The sequence below is a fragment of the Homo sapiens genome, chromosome 5 (genome assembly GCF_000001405.40).
Source record: "Homo sapiens chromosome 5, GRCh38.p14 Primary Assembly".
Classification (NCBI taxonomy): domain Eukaryota; kingdom Metazoa; phylum Chordata; class Mammalia; order Primates; family Hominidae; genus Homo; species Homo sapiens.
In genome coordinates this window covers 83,194,054-83,214,740 of record NC_000005.10, presented here as the reverse complement: position 1 = coordinate 83,214,740, position 20,687 = coordinate 83,194,054, and the positions used below count along the sequence as shown (strand labels likewise).

The window sequence follows — 20,687 nt, the reverse complement described above, 5'->3', positions numbered from 1 at the left end:
CCTCAGCCTCCCGAGTAGCTGGGACTACAGGCGCCCACACGATGCCCGGCTAATTTTTTGTATTTTTTGTTTAGTAGAGATGGGGTTTCACCGTGTTAGCCAGGATGGTCTCAATCTCCTGACCTTGTGATCTGCCCACCTCGGCCTCCCAAAGTGCTGGGATTACAGGGGTGAGCCACCGTGCCTGGCCAATTCCTTATTTTTTAAAGATGGGTGTCTCAACTATGTTGCCCAGGCTGGCCTCAAACTCCTTGGCATCATGAGTTTCTGGGATTATAGGAATACACCACCATGGCCAGGAGCAATTTTCTTATTTCATTTTTTGCTTATGCATTGCAAGCATATAGAAATACAACTGATTACTGTATATTGATCTTGTACACTGTAACCTTACTGGAGTCAATTTATTAGCTCTAAGAGTTTTTTAGTGAATTCCGTAGTGTTCCTATACACTAGATCATATCATCTGCAAAAAGGAAGTTTTACTTCTTTTCCAATCTGAATACCTTTTATCTTATTTTCTTGCCTAATTGCCCTGCCTAGAATTTCTAGTGCAACACTGAATAGAAGTGATGGGAGCAGACAACCTTGTTTTTTTCCTATATTGAGGGGTAAACATTCAGTATTTCACCATTAAGTATGTGACAGCTGTGGTCTTTTGCCTAGATGCCTTTATTAGGTTAAGGAAGTTACCTCATATTCCTGGTTTGTTGAGAGTGTTTGTTATTAATGTGTGTTGGATTTTGTCACGTACCTTTTCAGCATCTATTGAGATGATCAGGTGGTTTTGTGCTTTATTTTATCATTGTGAAATACTTTAACTGATTTTCAGATGCAAAAGTATCTTTACATAAGAGGAATGAATCTCAGTTGGTCATAGTGTATAATTCTTTCTGTATGGAGCTGGTTGCTTTTTGCTAGTGTTTTGTTTCAAATGTTTATATCTATGTTCATGATGGATATTTGTCTATAGTTTTATTTTCTTGCAATGTCTTGTCTGGCTTTGATATTATGATAATATCGGCCTCACAAAATGAGTTGGGAAGTGTTCGCTCCTCCTCTATTTTCTGAAAGAGTTTATAAGGAATTGGTATAATTTCATTAAATTTTCAATAGAAAACACCAGTGAAGTCATCTGGGCCCAGGGTTTTCTTTGTGGAAATATCTTAAATTACTAATTCAATACATTTACTTAATAATCTATTTCATATTAATAATATCTTTATATGTGGCAAATATAGAAATTTTGCTCTCATATAGCTATATTATCCAATTTGTCCTATTATTGTCATGTATATTGTATCTATCTATATTATAAACCCAATGTCACAGTGTTGTAATTATTCCTTTGTTCAATCTGGCATAAAAGACAATAATAAAAAAGAAAATATGTATTTATATTTTCTATTAATCCACTATTTTACATTTTTTATTATTTTTATTTCTTCCTGTAGATTCATGTTATCATTTCATGTTGTTTCCTTTCACCCTGAAGATTTCTTAATATGCGTCACAAAACAGGTCTGTTACCAATGAATCTGTTAATTAATAAATGTCTTTATTTCGTCTTTATTTTGAAAGATACTTTGCTGGATATAAAACTATTGGTTATGATTTCTTTTTTTGTTCTTTCAGAATTTTGTAAATGCTATACCGCTGCCTTCTGTCCTTCATTGCTTCAGATAATGTCTGTTGTTATATTGATGCTGTCCTATAAGTGTCTCCCTCTATGGATTTCAAATGTTTTCTACGTATATGTGTCTCAATGTATCTTTTTGTTTTTTTTTTTTATTTTGGTGTTTTTTTTTTTTTTTTAGATGGAATCTCATTCTGTCTCCCAGGCTGGAGTGCAGTGGCATGATCTTGACTCACTGCAACCTCCACCTCTCTGGTTCAAGAGATTCTCCTGCCTCAGCCTTCCAACTAACTGGGATTACAGGCACGTGCCACCATGCCCAGCTAATTTTTGAATTTTTATAGAGACGGGGTTTCACCATGTTGGCCAGGTCAGTCTCGAACTCCTGACCTCGGGTGTTCTGCCTGCCTCAGCCTCCCAAAGCGCTAGGATTACAGGTGTGAGCCACCATGCCCAGCCTATCTTTTGGTATTTATCTCACTTAAAGTTTACTGAGTTGCTTGGATGTTTAGACTAATGGTTTTCATAAAATTTTGGAAAGCTTTGGCTTTCATTTTTTCAAGTATTTTTTTTCTACCTTTCTCTCTCTTTTGTCCCAGAATATACATTACACATATGTTGGCACATGTGATGTCCCAAAAGTCTCTGAAGATCTGTTCATTTCTCTTCCATCTTTTTTGCTCTTCATTCCTAGGAAATTATTCACTCTATTGATCTATATTCAGGTTCACTGATTTTTTTTTATTCTGACAATTTGAATCTGTTGTTCAACTGCTATAGTAACTTTCTCATTTCAGTTATTACACTCTTCAAATTCAGAATTTTCATATTGTTCATTTCAAATAATTTCTATCTCCTTATTGAGAATCTTTACTTGTTGATACATTTATATCGTACTCTCCTTTAGGGCTTTAAACATGTTTTTGTTTAGTTTAGTATATAAATGTGTGTGTGTGTATATATACACACATACATATGTGTATATATACATATACACATAAACATACATATGTGTGTATGTGTGTATATATATATAGATACAGATATAGATATAAACTGTGCTTTGAAGTCTGTCTACCAAATTCAACATCTGAAACATTTTCTATTGACTACTTTTTTCCCCCAAGTATGGACCACACTTTCCTGTTTCTCTGTATGTCCAATTTGTTGAAAACTAAACATTTTAAATAATATATTGTAACAACTTTGGGTTTTGACTATTTTCCTTCTGAAGTTTGCTACTGTTGCTTTTTGTTTGTTTATTAACTTACCTGTGGTAAATGTATGAAATCTGTTTCTCTTGTGATGTGTGACAATTGATGTTTCTGCACAGTTTATTTTATTCTTGATTTTTAAATTTTAAAGCCTAGCTCCAAATGGGTTACTCTGTGTCTAGACAGTTTTGACGTCAGCCAGTAATTGATAGAAATAATGCACAAACACCTCAAGCTAATAGGTTTCTTTTCTTTTGTTGGGGGAGGGGCGGTGGCAGGAACAGGAGTATGTTGAAAGTCTAGCCTCTCTTTTTCTATTCTCCTATGAAGATATGTATTATCTCTAGGTTAGGCCAGAACTGTAAAAATAGCTTGGGCCCTCTCTTCAGTCTCTACTGCAAAAGTGCATGCACACTTTCAGCTAGGAATATGTTTACCCCAACCATGAGCACAACCAGGTTAGTAGATCCATTGGCCTAACACACCTACCCACTGACACCAAGATCATTACTTCTACTGACAATGCTGCTGGTTGTGAGTATCACCCTCTGCTGCAAATTGAGTGAGCCCTCTTTAGCTCAGGTACAGCAGTTGCCAGTCCTCATGGCCAGCCAGATGCTGGCATAACTTTCATACTGACCAAACTCATGAATGTGGGCAGGCAGTGATAGAGGCAGTCTTAGGCAAGCAAGAAATCCACAGACTCCCAGTTCTTACCCAAACTTCAGCAGTTTTTCAAGAATAAACAGTTCTCATATTGCTGTTTGCCTTTGGCCATGTTTGGAAGTACTTATTTGCTTATTTTTGGGTCAATTTTAGATTCATAGTTGATTTGGGGGTAAAGGATTTGCCTGTTTTCTCACTCATCCATAGTCAGAGACAAATAACATTAAAATAATTTTTGTCTCCCCCCAAACATATAAAGATGTAGAGATACTTGCCTAGGAGGTCATATCAAAGTTATATTTTAGTACTAGGAAATAAGAAACCATCATAGATTTGCTAACAACCTTTGGGACATTTGAGAGTTCTCAGGTGAATAAATACTAAGTCAAAATCTGAAGAAATTAATATACACAGGGATGACTTCAACAGAAATATGTGCATTCTATTAGTTTCTCCACAAGCTACCTACCATGAAGTCTTACTTGTTCAATCTGATGACGTTGACTATCTTTCTTGAGAATGTATGTACAAATAGGATCTTTTTTCTATATAGGAGAAAAAAGTGTTCCCATTATTCTCTTGTATCAGTGGCAATTTCCTCATTGTTAGAAAATTTGCAAGGGTTTTTATAATATTTCAAGAGTAGACGTGCTAATGTGGTTAATTATTATATTACAAGGCAAATACTTTTCATTATTTTCCCCTGTGTAACCAAAAGTAACGTACTTAATCTTTCTAGGCCTCTGTTCCCTCACTGGAAAAACAATGAGCTTAAATAACAGGATCTAGAACTATACAGTCTAGATTTCCAAAGCATATAACGTTATTCCTAGCAACAATGGTTATGTATAAAAGCCCACTATTGCTAGGAAATACACTTAAATTTCTTTTCCAGTTTGGTGGTAGGTTTAACTAAATCAAGCTTTTAATTTAAAACTTATAAATAAATGTGTCTATGATAAACAAGCTGGGCAAGACTAAGAGCATAATCTGTTATTCTAAAGCTGAGTTTCTGAGTAATCTCTTTGGCAGTACATGTTGTTATCCCCTCTGTGAGTAGACATTCACTGTTTGAAGCAACAAGCCCTTTGATACTTAAAAATATTGGATTCTGTTCTATTTTTAAAAGCTACTATATCAGTATTCATCAACTGTTGGACATAGCCATTCATTTATTTTCAAAAAGGCTATTCTATAATCACACTTCCTTTCAGGAAGCCTACCAACTAAGTGAAAGCCTAAATTACTGATAGCAGTTATACAGGGACCTTCCTGTTGGTTAAGAAGCAGGATTAATTAAACTAATGTGCTAAATCTTGGGCTAGTAATTATGTAGAAAAGTGGTAGGAAAGCTTATTATATTTGTTTTTAGTGGTTGTGCACCTTTAATATGCAGCTAAAAAGAGTGAAACATTCTAGAAAAGATTTCTTATTTGTATTTTAGTAATGCTCTTAATTATCCTATAATTGTAATAAATATTGTCAACTCTATTCATAGAAATAACTATAATTTTGAAATACTGATTATATATTAAAATAATTAGTGAGGAATTAAAATCATTAGCCTTATGATAGCTAACTAATTAGGAGCCAATTAAGCATAGCTTTTCAAAATGTTTCACAAGAAAAATCCTAACTCTATCATATAAATTCAAATTTTCCACTAAATATTTGCATGCTTTTTGAATTATGTTAAGACTAAGAAATGTTTCATAATGGCTAAAATTCTTAGAATATTCATATATATTTTAAAATTGTTTTCACATACAATTCTGTTATCACAGCATGAAAATGGTTCTGAAGCAATATTTTAAAACTGCACAATGCGAAACTGTTCTTAGATTATATCTGATATGGTTGGGGCAAATAAAAGGCCAATTGCATGTGGTGGTGTTGCAGATTTTGGCTCTAATGCTATACATAATGGTGCTTCTATCACTACATATTTTGTTGAGGTTCTGTTATTTAGTGGACATAGTTTAACAATGTTTCTCCTTAGATAGGGACATCGTGTTTTACCTTGATTTGGAAAGAAAAAGAGTTTCTTATAGGGAAGACTGTTTCACAGTATCTATAATAACCCAACAGATTTCTATTAAATTCACACACACACACACACACACACACACACACACACACACTCACTTTGGAGGCAGGAGGAGTCCAGACTAAGCAGGAAATCTTTAAGGCCACAAGTACTTAATACCAACTAGATAGGGGTGAAAGTGATCCCTACTTTTCTAGTCCAAAGCTTGAGCTACAAATAGAGACTACAGCAACTATTATATTTATCATAATCTTAATATAAAACAAAGTGAAATACCTATAAAATCCAGGGCCTTAGTATGCAGCCATAGCTTAAGAAATAAAGTCAGTAATACAATCACTATCTATCTGGAAATTCTAAAATCCAAGACATAGTAAAAGTAAATCTTGCTATGGAAAAATATAAAATGTAGTATGCGGTGATATTGACTGTGATATTCAAGTTTCAGAATACTTTGGGGATTTCCTTTTAGCCAAGAAAATGAGTATTTTTTGAGGTTTTTCATGCTACATCATACAGTACATATGAGCATGATGTGGTTTATTAGACTGATCTACATTATCATTAGTTATTTCCTCAGTAATCCTAATGGCAGTGGGAAAATATGAAAATTTAGAGGAAAAAAAGCCATAAATTGATTGCGTATTCATAAAAATGTAACTTAACAATTTCCTTCAAATTGTAATACCCCTACTCTACTTCTGGATATATGCATAAAAGTAACCAGACTTTTCCCTAGAGTGAATACGGTAAATATGAATTTGCCATTTCATATTTGTGAATGAATTACCATACCATCTTTGTGAATATTTCTACATTTGATTATTAAAGAATAATTTCATTTAAATGGGACAGTAAGGTAAAAACAAGCATAACTACCAAATGAAAAGAAATTTCATTCCCATTTACAAAAGTATGATTGTATGCCTATTGTGTAATCCAATTCAAATTTACCATACTCAGATTCAGATTAACATATTCATCTTCGTATTACTAAATGATCCTGATCTCACTAAACCTCTATTTTATCATCAAGAAATTGGGTAATAATGTGAACAACTCCAGATGAAATTTGGGCATTTTAATAATTAATGATAAAAATCCATTTACTATAACAAAATAACTACCAAATTATATATTCAGCCACTTAAAGACAGCTTTCTGAAAGTCTGAATAAATGTATTAATCCCCATCAGATTCTCTTTTTCTTGTTTTTATTGTAGGAAAAGCACACAGGAAATTGCAATATCTAAAATAAATTCACAAATTTATTTGTATTCAAAGAGCAAGTAATTTATTATCAAGATGGCAGAATAAGATCAGGAAGAAATTCTCACTGCTCTGCCTCAAAAAACATAGTAATACTACATAGAGTACCAAAAAGAGAAAGCTGTGTTCAACAGAATTATCTCTCATGGACTAAAAACATATTTTGTCTCTGTAGAAGAATTAATTGTGGAAACTGGTAAATTATAGGGTGGCCCATTTTGTTGTTTAACATCTACAATTTTCTTTCTCAGATCTATGAAATCTAGTTCTTGATTCAGTGTCAAGCATTTGAGATGAGATTTATTTTTCTATTTCAGTCAGCATCTGTTTCCTAAACATTTCTTTTTGCAGCAGAAGAAAAAGGGTAAAGTTCTATTATGCTATTAATTCTTGACATCGAAAACTTACTAAAAGCAAGTTAAATGCAAAAATAAAAAATAAAAACAGAGACCTATAGATCATATGTGTAATGAACTAGATGTGGGCTAAAGAAATAAAGACACGTAAAATAGAGAAAGAACATGAAATAAACTAAACATTTCTGAAGAGAAAGGAGAATTTTGCCAAATTGAAAATAGTACAATTGTAGCTTAAAGTTTTACTTAAAATAGACTGAACACATAAAAGTCCTCTTTCTCATATAGCCATATTTAACCACGTATTTTCTCATCAATAATTTTCACCTACTTCAAATATTGGTAAGATACTCTGACTAAGAAACAAGACCAAAGGTCATTGTATTTAATAAAAATTCTGAAAGTTTAAACTGGAAAGAGTACAAATTATCTTTGTAAGTTTTTCTCTATTTGATTATTAAATAATAATTTCATTTTAAATGGGACACTAGGGTAAAACAAGCATAACTGCCAAGTGAAAAGAAATTTCATTCCCAAGTGCAAAAGTATGATTGTGTGTGTATTGTGTAATCCAATTCAAATCTGATTAGAATCAGATGAATCAACCAGTTTAATCAATGTTAATAAGTTTCTGTGACTGCAGTTAGATACTTTCCTGTGCCTTCATCTGTTTATTCTACCTTTTCTCCTGTCATTATGGGGAGTGACTATGCTCCTGGCTAAACTAATCTACTACTTGTCCCTTGGATCCCATCCACTTATATTTTTAGAGACAGATTTCCAGTAGTTTTTCCTCTGTCTACTGCCTTGATGGTTTTACCTGCTCTCTTTAGTTACTCTCATCAGTATACAAACATATTCTTTCTTTTATTTAAAAACAACAAACAAAAATACTTTTCTTTATCCTACTTCCTCCTCCAGCTGCCGCCCCATGTCTTTCCCATTTTTTACAGTGAAATTTGTTGAAAGTATTGCCTGTCTCATCTCCAGTTCTCTCCTCCCATTCCCTTTGAAACTCCTATTCTCTCCTATCCCCTTCCTTCACCAATCCAGTGAATATGTTCTATTAAGATCCTTAATAACGTTTGTATTGCTAAATCCATCAATCAGCAGGATACCACATTTATATTTTTGCCTCTTACCTCCTGGCTGCTCCTTCTCAGTCTTATTTGCTCAGTCATAACCCCTTCATCAGCAAATCCTGCTGCCTCTAAGCACACCTAGAATCTGCTCCTTGCTCATCGCCTCTCCATCACTCTGGTCTAAGCCAGCCTCATCCTTCACCGAATTGTTGTACTAGCTTCCCATCTGTTATATCTTCTTCTGCATTTGTCATCCTATAGTCTATTCTTAACACAATACACAGACTAATCCTCTTGAAATTTGAGTCAGATTATGTCACCTGACTGTTTAAAATCCTTCAGTAGTTTCCAAGTTAATTCAAAGTAACAGGAGAAGTTCTAATGGTAGCCTATATCGCCCTACACGTGATGAGGTCCCATCATCTCTCTCATCTCATTTCCTAATTCTCCCAGTCTTCATCTTTCTACTTTATCCAGATTACACTCTATAGTATTGCTTAAACGCGTCAGGAACTTTGTACTTAGTGTTTTTTTGTTTTTGTTTTTGTTTTTGTTTTCTGTTTGGCATGGTCTTCCCCAAGACAGCATGTCACCTTCACCTTCTCACTGAGGCCTTTTCTGATAGTCTGGCTAAAATCATAACCCTCATCCTTATTCTCACCCTGACCTTTCTAACGCCTTCTCTGGTTTATTTTTCTCTTTAGCACTTATCAACCTAACATATTTTATATTTATTCATCTTATATGTTTCCCTGACTACAATTTAAACTCCACAATGGCACAGATTTTTGTGTTTTGCTGTCTAATGCATAGCAAAGTTTCTAGTACATAATAGGAACTCAAAAATATTTTCTAAATAAATAAATCAAGCATTTATTTTAATAGTATTGGTTTTAGGTCAAAACCATCTAAGTATAAAATGAGTTCAGAGGCTCCTGTTTCCACCGTCACTAGGAAATCTATAAAACATTTTAAAAAATAACTCATGGGTTTAAACACTTGCTGGGAACTTGATCCAAAGGACTGAGTAAGTCATAGGTACTTTGTACTAAACTGCCATTTTTCCCCTTCTCTTTTCCTCTATTACATCTCACTTGTTGCAATCTTTTTTCTGAAGAGTGAAAGAAGGCCTCAACTTCAGTATAATTTAGAGCATTCTTGATTACTCTGCTCCAGTGGCCTATTCATGGCTTTAGCTAAATAAGATCTCAAATGTTAAAGGCAACCAGCTTTAAGCTGATGATATTTAGCATAAAGGTGTTTCTTCCTCATTGCTTATGCTTTTCCTGGTTATATTTAACCAGGAATAGTATACCTTGGAGTATATGTGTATGAATGCTTGCTCACACTGCTGTGCTAATGAGTTGCTGCATTTTACAAATAATATTAAGTTTTAACATTAAAAATTTGAGTTTTTAAAATAAAAATGCTAAAGAATTTTCATAGAATAAGGTCTTTCACAACATTTTTCCATTATGGTTTCTTGTCATTAGAATAAGAAGCCCAAATAAGATATTCAACAGAGGAGATAAATGTATGTATCTCTTACCTGAAGCCAACCCAGAGAGATCAGTTTGGTTTTCACTTTCCTCATCAGTACTCTCATCATAGACTGGATCTCGGTCAGCAGTCATTTCAGAACAGATTGCAGTTTCCCTAGAAACAGAGAAAGGTAGAATTATAAATAACTGGCTCACCCCCTGCTAGGCAGCAGATTTATCAGTAAGCAATTATAGAAAATATTCCTAGAAAAAGATTCTAATTAGACAAACATATTGAAAATATATATGATTTAGATGAAAGCATCTTAAAACCTATATATTAACTCTCTTAAGAACAAGTTTCTCTTTTACCTAATTTTAATCTGAATTTAGTACTTATTATAATTAATATTAAATCAGTTTCTTATCAGGTACTATTCTTCCATCAAAATACTTTTTCTAACAAATTATCTCTGTGAGTCACAGAGTATTTAACATTTTACTAATCTCAGAACAGTTCGCATTTCATTTGATCTCTGCAAAACCCTAAGATGGGTATCTTTACCTTTATTATGAAGATAAAGTGACTTGTCCAAAGCTATAAACTAATAGGTATGACTGCAAGACCAGTACCTGTGCTAGGACTAGCTGATATCAAATTTTTTTATACTACGTCACTGGTAATTCTGTACTTCTACTAAGATTCAAAGCAACAGACCCTAACTTGTATTTGCTAATGCGTAAAAAAGTTATAATCGTCGAAAGCCGTATCAGCCATTTGTCACTTAGGATTCTTCCATAAAAATCAAGTACATATGTACTTTCAGAGAATATGTGAAAGAAGAATAAAACTGATAATCACACTCTAATCAGATAAAATAAGTGCTCCCTGGAATTTAATATTAACCACTTGATTCTAAAGTTAATCATTGCCTAGACATCAAGATTACAAATATGCATCCAACTTTTGTAGTTCTGCAGATGAAAGTTTTTTTTTAAATTAGTATGTCTTACTAATGTCTAAGAATTAAATAATACTTTAATAAGCCTCATGTCAGTTTTTTAATTTAAGTGTAGGTGACACAGTTGAGCAGACATAGAGAGACCATGCTGAGAACTCTCTAGCCCATGGTACCCCTATCTAACAGCCTGAACATCCACATCCAGACTACCAAATTATCTCATATGATCAAAAAGTTGGCATCTAATGTTCATTAACTTTGGGAAGAAATTCCACTTAAATGTATTCATCTGTCATCCAAAAACAAGATAGCGAAAATACCCTTCTTGTTTGATGTCCTTTTCTCGTTCTTGAGCTGCATTTAATAATTTATTATGCAAACTTCTGATTTTTGTTTTCTTCTCATTCAACACCAGAATAAACCGCTTATAAAGATCAGTCTCCAAAGCTTCCTTAGCACTCACACATTTTTCAAATCTAAAAAAGTAAATAAGTAAACAAATTAGTCATGCAGTTCTGCTTAGCATTAACATAATTCAGCCTAATAATCAAGAAGATTTCAAGGAAAATACAATTAAAGATTATTTTCACATATGCTTTCACTGACTTGGAAGTTTTATAAAGATGGTTAAATACACAATTAGAAATTATTGGTTATTAATGTAATTTATTTACTGAGATAAGGATCAAAATTGAAAACTGATACAAATAAGCCTTTAGAAAATCAAAATGCCTAAAGATAATTTATTGATACATATGGTTTATTTACAAAAGAATGTTTTTATGGGATAAATTTCAAACAAGAGTAAATGTAGCCTGTTTCCTCAGTACTATGTTAATATTACTATAAAAGCAACTACAATCTTATTTTGTGATAAGGCAACATAGCTAATTTGTCTGATTTATCTACTAGACAACAAACTGCTCCACAACAAGAACACGACTTATCCAGTTATATTCTTATAAGCGAGCACCACACACACACACACACAAATACATATAGAAATGCAATACACATACCCAATGAAAGTATTCTACTTGATATATTCAAGGAGAGATTAATAAAACAGCAAATGTAAAACACTACATATCTTCAAATTTAGATACGTAAGACAAAACATACAAAATTCTCTATTGTTTTTAATTCATCCCATACTGCTCAAATGAGCTAACAAGGGATTGTATTTATTTTAAGCTCCCAAGAGATATATAAAGAAAGCAAAATAGCTGAGGTTGTATATACTTAATATATGCATACACATACATGATGAATACATTCCTATTTTATTGATTCAAATACAAATTATTTTATGTATTCTTTTCAATGTTGTTTCATACTGCTTATTTACATTGTTGTTGTTTTACAGGTATCCTAGTATTTTTATACTGTACATAAACACACACACACATATATACCAGTAGTAATATATATGTGTGTGTACATATATAGACACACACATATATATTTCAGTGAAATTAGAAACACAAATGTCCAAATTAGATAGCTTTTATATACATGCCCTTAAACTTTCAACAATCTACCTATCTAGAGATGCAAAGAATTAGAACGTATCATAGGATAAAAAGGAAAATATGGCAATATATTCTCTGGGACCAATTTCAGCAAATTCTTACAGCACAGTCTTTGCCAAAGATGTGAACTCCACGAAAGCAGACAGCATGTGTGTTTTATTGGCCACTGTATCCTCAGTGCCCAGCATAGTGTTTAGCATTCGACAGATGTTTGGTAGGTTCTTATTAGACAAACGAATAAAGTGAATAAATTAATATGGACATCTTTTTGGTTTATTTATTTTCCCAGTGGTTTATTCGTTTTCCCAGCTTTTCTGCAGAGTTATTACAAGGCCTCAACAGTGCTTTAGTTTTTCTTTTCAATATCCTGTTCTGCAGCTTCCTTGGTCCTTTTTGCCCAGAGGCCAAAGAGCCAGGCATTGATATGGCAGGTTTTTTGTTTTTTTTTTTTTTGAGACAGACTTTCGCTGTTGTTGCCCAGGCTGGAGGGCAGTGGCACGATCTCCACTCACTACAACCTCTGCCTTCTGGTTTCAAGCGATTCGCCTGCCTCAGCCTCCCGAGTAGCTGAGATTACAGGCACCTGCCACCATGCCTGGCTAATTTTTGTACTTTTAGTAGAGACAGGGTTTCACCATGTTGGTCAGACTGGTCTCGAACTCCTGAGCTCGTGATCCATCTGCCTCAGCCTCCCAAAGTTCTGGGATTACAGGCGTGAGCCACCGCACCTGGCCTGACGTGGCAGTCTTGAAGTTCTCTTCCTCCTTGGTGATGACTCTGGCTTTCTCCTTCGTATAGGTATTTCATATGAACATTACCGGTCCTGTCAGTGTGATGGCCAATTTGAGTTCTTCAGTGTAGCTGTCTCTCTTCTCGGAGGCTGAGGTTTCTAGAGAAGGAGGATAAGCTTCCAGCAGTACTCCTACAGCTGTTATACATTGGCCTGCAGGGACTCAGTAGACTTGTCTCACCTCCTTGGATCAATAGAGAAATCAATGGTCCAGGCCATCTTCTTGTGGATGCTGGCCACCCTTAATTCTTCCAAGCTGAAGCCCCTACCAGCTTGTACTTGGTGTGAAACCTCATGTGGGGCATTTTACTAGGGGCCAGTGGGTCCAGATACAAGGCACCGGGCAATGCAGTGGGCTTGCCCAGTCCCATGTCTGTGGCTCTTCCTTGCAGGCTGGGTGAACCATATTGCTATAGGCCACTGCCAGTACTTACAAAAGTGGGGCTTCAGGATTATGCCATTCCTGCTGGGCACCATGGCTGACTATAGCCCTCCAGCAAAGAAGAAGAGCCAAGGAGAATGGCTAATATTGACATCTTATAAGGAAACAGAAAAACAGTGATTCCGAATATTGTATTTTTTCCCTCATTTAATAGCTATTCACCATTGTAAAAGTAATGTTTTTCATCTTCAGCTTTTAAAAAAACTGTGGCAAATAATATCAATCTAACAGTATTCCCTTCATTAAGCAAAGTTCTCTGAGAAAGAAGTACACGAAAGATGTTAGAAAAAAACTGAATATTGAAAAGGAGCTAGCAATATTGATAGTTTATTTTAAGCAAAGACATGTCACTACATTTATATTTCAGATTCAGTGTTACGTAAGCATGATATTCTTATCTTCCTATAATATTTTCAAAAAAACACAACAAAAAACTTTAAAACATACATATTACTGAAATACCTGAGTATATAATAACATACTTCAAACATATGCAAAGTAAAAACCAATATGTGAAAACATATAAACAAATATATTACAATTTCTTATATTAAATTTTAGGAATGGTAACCAATTAGTAATTTATCTGGTTTAAGTCCATATTTAATTTCCATATAAGTCACTTCAATAATTCTTGATTGAATGATGATGTGTACTTAACAACTAACAAGCTAATTCCCAAACCTTTATTAAAATTAACATTTGGTATGACACATTCAAAGTGAAAATAAATATGAAAATGAAATATCATATAATATTCCTAAAGAATATTGTTAATCTTAAGTAACCAGTATCAGATCTATGTTGTCAAAGGAAACATTTCTGTGACAGGAAAACACAGTCAATAGAATGAATGGTATCATGTGAGTTAACCTTGCTTGGTTTCAGCAAAGCTTTAGGATTTTTTTGCAACCAAACTTCTGATCATCAAACTGGACAACACTTCCTAGAAAAGTGGGGGAGCGGGAGCTGACTGGAGAAAAAGTATTAGTGTGAACAGTTGCATGACATGAATTTACTCTTAACTTTTAATTTTTCAAGACTCAGAGAATGCTATCCTTTTATCCAATAATCAGTAACTAAGAGGTATGTCGTATCATTCCCACCTAATTTTTAATGCCAATCCTCTCCTAGAGCATTATGATGTTACTATGCATTCCATTACGTGCTTCCTGTCAAGCTTATGCCTCAAGAAATTGGACAGGAACTGTTAGGTGAGAACATTTAGTGGAGAAGAGACATGGGATTCACTGCTAAGTCTGGTGACACTAACAAAAAGCCCATGTACAACTAGATCAGACCACACTAGTCCAAGGATCAAATCCAGGCAAATCTCAAATTGGGACGAAATCACAAATAACATCAAACAAGAAAGGTCTAATGATACTTCATCCTTTCTACAATAACTAGGAAAACAGAACAATAATGCTAAATTTAATTAGCAACCTAGCACTGAGGTATCTAAAACCTTGGACAAAAAAATAGTAATTTTTTTTAAAAAATTAAAAGGATAAAAAAATACAAAAAAATACTGAATATTCAAAATAAAATGTCTCTGGGTGGGAAAACAATCTAAGAATAACATGTCAAAACAATAACAAACTAGGAGGAAAAACACAACAATTTCATGCAGAAATAACACCAAAAATGAAACAACAGATTAAATGATAGCTCAAAATAAAATAATAGATATATAAATGTGAACATATGGTATTTAGACACAGTGCAGTAATCCTTAAATTAATAATCAGTTCTGGCCAAAATTATATCTGGCCCAGGTCAGGGTTGTATGTCAAAAGAAAGTCTGAATAGAGTTGGGAAGACAAAGAAAGCTAAAAAGAACTGGAAAAGCAAGCAGTGGTAAAGAGATTTAATAAGGCTTTAAGTACGGAAAAAGATGGTGAACAGCTGTTCCTCATCCTTTCTGACAAGAGAACAAGAGGAAATGGCCTTCAACTATACCGTGAAGGATTCAGATTACCCATAGATGGAAGAAAGAATTTTCTGACTGCGACAGTTCTTAAACACTGTAACGGGCTATCAAGAGGAGATGAAGATATCTCTTGAGGTCTTTAAAAATCGGACTGAATTCATCTGGATATAATGTGATTGTATCTTGAAGGCAGAGAGATGAAGTAGAAGAGCTTTCAAGGTCTTTTATTTTGATGATTCTGTGAGTGTCAACCCAATTCCCTGAAAACTGCCTCCAATTATGGGTTTAATAACTATAACTCAGAATAAAGGCAGGTAATTTCTAAGTAGAGGTCTGAGTGCAAACAAAACACCTATTCAGTAACATGGAACTTGAGAGTTTTTATTTGTAATTAAGTAGAAAACCCATGAAATAAATATAGCCAGTAACCTAAGGATTCACGTACACATCTTAAATGTTTCCTCCTTTATCTACACTATACAAAATTAATCCACTGATGCCACTTGTTCAAAATGGAGCCAAGAACACAATTATTAAGTGGTAATTAAAAATAACAGCAAATATATATGTTAAAATTCTATGCATTAAAGCTCACACTTTTTACTTATGCTGTAATTTCTCATTCCTCACTCAAGTGTTTATTCTCCACCATCATCCCAAATGAAAATAGCTTTATAATTGTTTGATTATAATGGTGATACATATTTAAATACTAAAACATATACAAAAAATACTCCCCAAAATTAAAGGAAAATGTAGTCTACAATTCCAGATATACACTATTAACATTTAATTTTCTTCTTCCAGATACTCTCTATATAAATATATTTTTTTGCAAACAATGGGATATTGTTTATATTTGTGGTGATGCACATCTCACCTTAATATATGATCAACATTTTCCATGCTAATAAACACATGTGTACACAACTATTTTATTCTCATATAATATCCTATGGGGTAGTAAATGTATCTCAGACCCATCTACCATCGCTTCTATGGGAATTCCCATCCCTTACATTGTGTCCTTCCCCACTATTTTAACACCACCCTCCCATCCCTTCATATGTAGTATAGAAGAAATGTTTGGATCATGAATGGACACTGACCCAAAAATAATCGGAGGCTTCCCCCAAAATTAACTATTGCCAGGCTTAACATCATGGCCCCAACTCTAATGATTCTCTACTTTCTATGTCCCCAGTTACCTAACTCCATATGCTCATGTCCTATTTCTAATCTCCCTAAAGACACTTAATCAGAACTACTGCCTTATGGAAGCTAAAGCTGTAAATCCTTTCCAGCATGCAAAGGCTCTAGTGAGGGAACACTAAGAAACTGCTGCTTGGCCATGATCAAGATGTATTTACAGCTCCTTAAAGTGGCCTCTGTCCTCTGAAAGGAAAGAAAATCAAATTTGGGAAATATTTAAAGCTACTAATCTAAGATCTGGAATACAATAAAGAGACTAGAATTCTCTGGAGTGGACTCTCTTTCCTCTCAGGACATAGGGCCACCCACTGGCACACATCTATAGACCCTGAAGAAGACATCTGACACAGTACTATCAAAAAAATAGCTGGATCATAATAAAGCAGGTGACAGGGTACATGGCTGTGCTTTTGATCAAACAGGAAATCTCTTCACAACAAGACAAAAGCACTTGCTGGATAGTCCAGAAATAGCAAATCAAGCATCTGTGAGCCACATATAATATGTGCCCCTCACACACACTGTTACAGCACAGGGTGCATTTGTCTCTAATTCCCCATCTTCGTTCCCTGCTGCTTTCAATTCTATGGGAGTGGTGTTGAATACTGATGAGATAATACCTCTTTCAACCTCTGGCAGACATTTTAAAGCAATTTGTTCAAGTACCAAGTACCCAGTCTGCATTTTTGTAGGCAATTTGTGGATCAAATTTCCTATCATCCTGAGGGTATTCTGAGTTTTAAATATAATGGCTTATCACGACCATAGCACATCTCCTTTAATTTGATTTATTTCACATATTAAATAGAAAATACACCCAAGCTACAGATACAGGTCCAAGAAATGCTTTGTAGTACAGATATCTGATACTGATTCATACTATCACATTGAAATCATCTTTATGAATAAACAGCAGTTAAAGAGAAAAATTAACTTTTTCTGCATGGTTTCCTGATACACAGTTTGGATTTGGTCTCATTTTTATATTATTTATATATAACATATATAAATAATTGGAGATAAAAATGTAGATCTAAGATAGAACAAAATAACCACTTTCTTAATATAATACATGAAAGCCAAATAACACTAGATGTTAGGAACTTAATTTTACATGTTTTGCATTAGTTAATAAATATAATTGAATGTACAGAAAAATAATCTTTTAGTCAGCCTCATTTTCACATACATATGTTGATAGTGGTAAAATCGTCACCATTTTTCATATACTTTCACATATACTCACTAACGTCTATACAGAGCAATCACAATGGTTGCGCTAAAAAGACCCTAAATATGTTGGATAAACTGTTCCCATGCTTTAGAGTTATTTAAGCAAAAGATTTAAAAAATCTACTGGATGTACTAATAATTATTATCATTATTATATATATATTCCACATAATTTTTCAGACATCATTTTCTTTCTCACTGTATATATATGTGTGTGCATACACACACACATATATATATTATAAGTGAGGATACAAGTGTTCACAACATGCATTTTATTTCCTTCAAATATCTTATACTAATAGAATAATAAAGGTTACACATTGGGCCAGCCTAGATTAGGATTTAGTTGAGAAAGTTCATAATTTAAAAAAAAATTATTTTTTTCTTCCTCATTTAAAAAGAGGCAAAGCCATAAAAATAAAAGGCTTCCAAATGTCTTATCCAGTAGCCACAATTAGCTCATCCTTTAAAAATGGTATAGTATGAATTTTCAATAAATCCAGAGAAATAAGTCTATTAGGAGCCAAAACACTGTAATTTGAAATAGATGCCACTCACTGAGCCCAAATGAGAAATCAATTATGCTTATTTTATTTCATGTCTCTTTTTCATTCATTATTAATCCTATAATTTGAGCTGAATTAATCTTAATAAATATTTACTACCTAAATCTTTTATTAGTATTAATGGGTTTTGATCTTCAATGCCCAATTAATCCTTATTGTTTATAAATTTGCTGGTGCCACCACATACTAATGACATAATGTATTAATGTATTCCTATAATATACAATAGTGATGAATAATTTCGTTTAATCATATTCAGTTAAGGTAAATATATATGTGCTAATCCACATATATTGGAAATTTACCAATCATTAACTTAAAGCTATAACAACATAAAGAGGGCTCCGTATTTTTATACCACAAGCAAACTGTGTACACACCGTCCTTGAACATCATTCCAATCTCTCAGAAGCCTTTCATTTTCTTTCTGCAGGTGCTCATTTTTGGCTTGATTTTCTGCAATGGTGTCCAAGCAATAACAAATAAGTTCTCTAATGACTTCAGCTGGGTTTTCAACTTTCTCTAGGTTGAAGGAACCAAGTCTGAACTAAAATGAAAGAAAAACATGGTTAATTTGGGGAAAATATCAAGATTGAGAAGCCTGGTTTTAAGCATACACAATTTCTTCTGAGAATAAAAAAGTGTAAGAAGGATTTAAATACAATGCATTTACAAGATATACAAACAGTGAGCAAAAAAACTGGGCTTCTACCTAAAGTTTCTTACTTGATCATATAAATCAACATATAGCCCAAGAATAATTTTTGTAAGTGGTAAGTCACTCTTCCATCTCCTAGCAGAAAAGAAAGCAACATAAATACTGTATAAGCTTACTACCATCTGTTTGCTAAAGCCTAATTTTAAGTCTCTCTGCTCAGAATAAGAAAAGGAATTATATATGATAATTTTAACTCTAATTTCTGTTCATGTAAATGCTAAAATGGAATAACTGACCTTTTGTTGAAGAAAGCTCAAAATTTTGTTATAGCTAAGAGAAAGGTAGAGTTTTAGGAAACTAGTAGCTACACAGTAATTACTCTTTTATCTAAAGACAATAATTTATTACCATAAATTGCCAATAATAAAGTTAAGTGTCAAGCTTTAGTACTTTTGCATAAAGGTAAGAATCTTAAAAATACCTTAATTCCTCTACTAGGGTACAGTTTAAAATAAAATACTCAAATAGTTTTAGTACACTTATGGAATTCTGAAGAGAACACAGGTATTCCCCATTTGGCTGATAAGGATGCCGAAACACAATGATTAGTAATAATGATTATATTTATCCTTAAAATTATTATAACAGATAACAAATTATGATGATTATTATTCAGTTACCACATCTTTTGGTTGAAGTGTAACTCAAGTGTAGCAAAAATATAAACTAGGATAAATCTTCACCGTAAGAGAACTATTATCATATCCACATTATAGATCAGTAAACTCAGGTTCAGAGTAGTTATCCAAGTTATTGAAGGGGTAAAGTCAAGATTCTGCTATGCTATGCTGTTGTGCTGTTTCTTGGTAAGAGAGTATCCCAACTAGACAAAAAGTAGGGGAAGAATTAGGTTCAGAACCTACACATAATTCCAAAGAAAGATGCTGGTAGCACTGAGTCCGTAGAAGAGTAAAATGAGAATTGATTTTGTTTTTGTTTTGGGTTTTTGTTTTTTGCCTCCTAGATTGTGAATTTCTATTATGCCATTTATCTGATAAGAATATTTCCAAAAGGTATTGCTTTTAAAAGAATATTTCTATAAATATATTACATACAGATTAAGAAATATTTAATATGGTTGATAATTTTGAGACAAATCTTTATTACACAATTTACAAATAAAAGCAGACTTCACTTAGACATCCACTGTGAAACTGCATTCGTACAGTTTGAAAAAGCAATTGCAGTTTTCTCATGCAATGAAATATGAGTCCACTTAACAGGCATATAAGCTTAAATAAGAAAGTTTTACCTATATAAAGAATAAATAAATTGAAAGTAAATTTGAACAGTTACCTTTTGAAACCTCTCTGAGTGTAAATATACACACAAAGTTAAAGAAAAATGTCACCTGGCCGAGCACAGTGGCTCACTCCTGTAATCCCAACACTTTGGGAGGCCAAGGCAGGTGGAGTTCATCTGAGGTCAGGAGTTCGAAACCTGCCTGGCCAACACAGTGTTGTAAAGACAGTGTTTAGTCTTTACTAAAAATACAAAAATGAGCCAGACATGGTGGTGCACGCTTATAAGCCCAGCTACTCAGGA

General features: G+C 33.6%; 1 protein-coding gene and 1 pseudogene across 13 annotated transcripts in view; both read right to left on the bottom strand.

Moving 5' to 3' along the window:
• XRCC4 (X-ray repair cross complementing 4) overlaps positions 1 to 20,687 on the bottom strand; it is a 296,927-nt gene that overhangs the window by 159,733 nt on the left and 116,507 nt on the right. For 12 of the 13 annotated variants that reach the window (XM_047417695.1, XM_017009827.3, NM_001318012.3 and 9 more), the window contains exons 4-6: positions 18,805 to 18,971; positions 11,034 to 11,189; positions 9,820 to 9,926 (exon numbers count right to left, since the gene is read on the bottom strand). In XM_047417695.1, coding sequence (XP_047273651.1) covers positions 9,820 to 9,926; positions 11,034 to 11,189; positions 18,805 to 18,971 — 430 coding nt within the window. Of the gene's footprint in view, positions 1 to 3,985; positions 4,062 to 9,819; positions 9,927 to 11,033; positions 11,190 to 18,804; positions 18,972 to 20,687 lie in introns of all 13 variants that reach the window. The other variant, XM_047417698.1, reaches the window with a different exon arrangement.
• RPL13P9 (ribosomal protein L13 pseudogene 9) lies at positions 12,980 to 13,512 on the bottom strand (annotated as a pseudogene).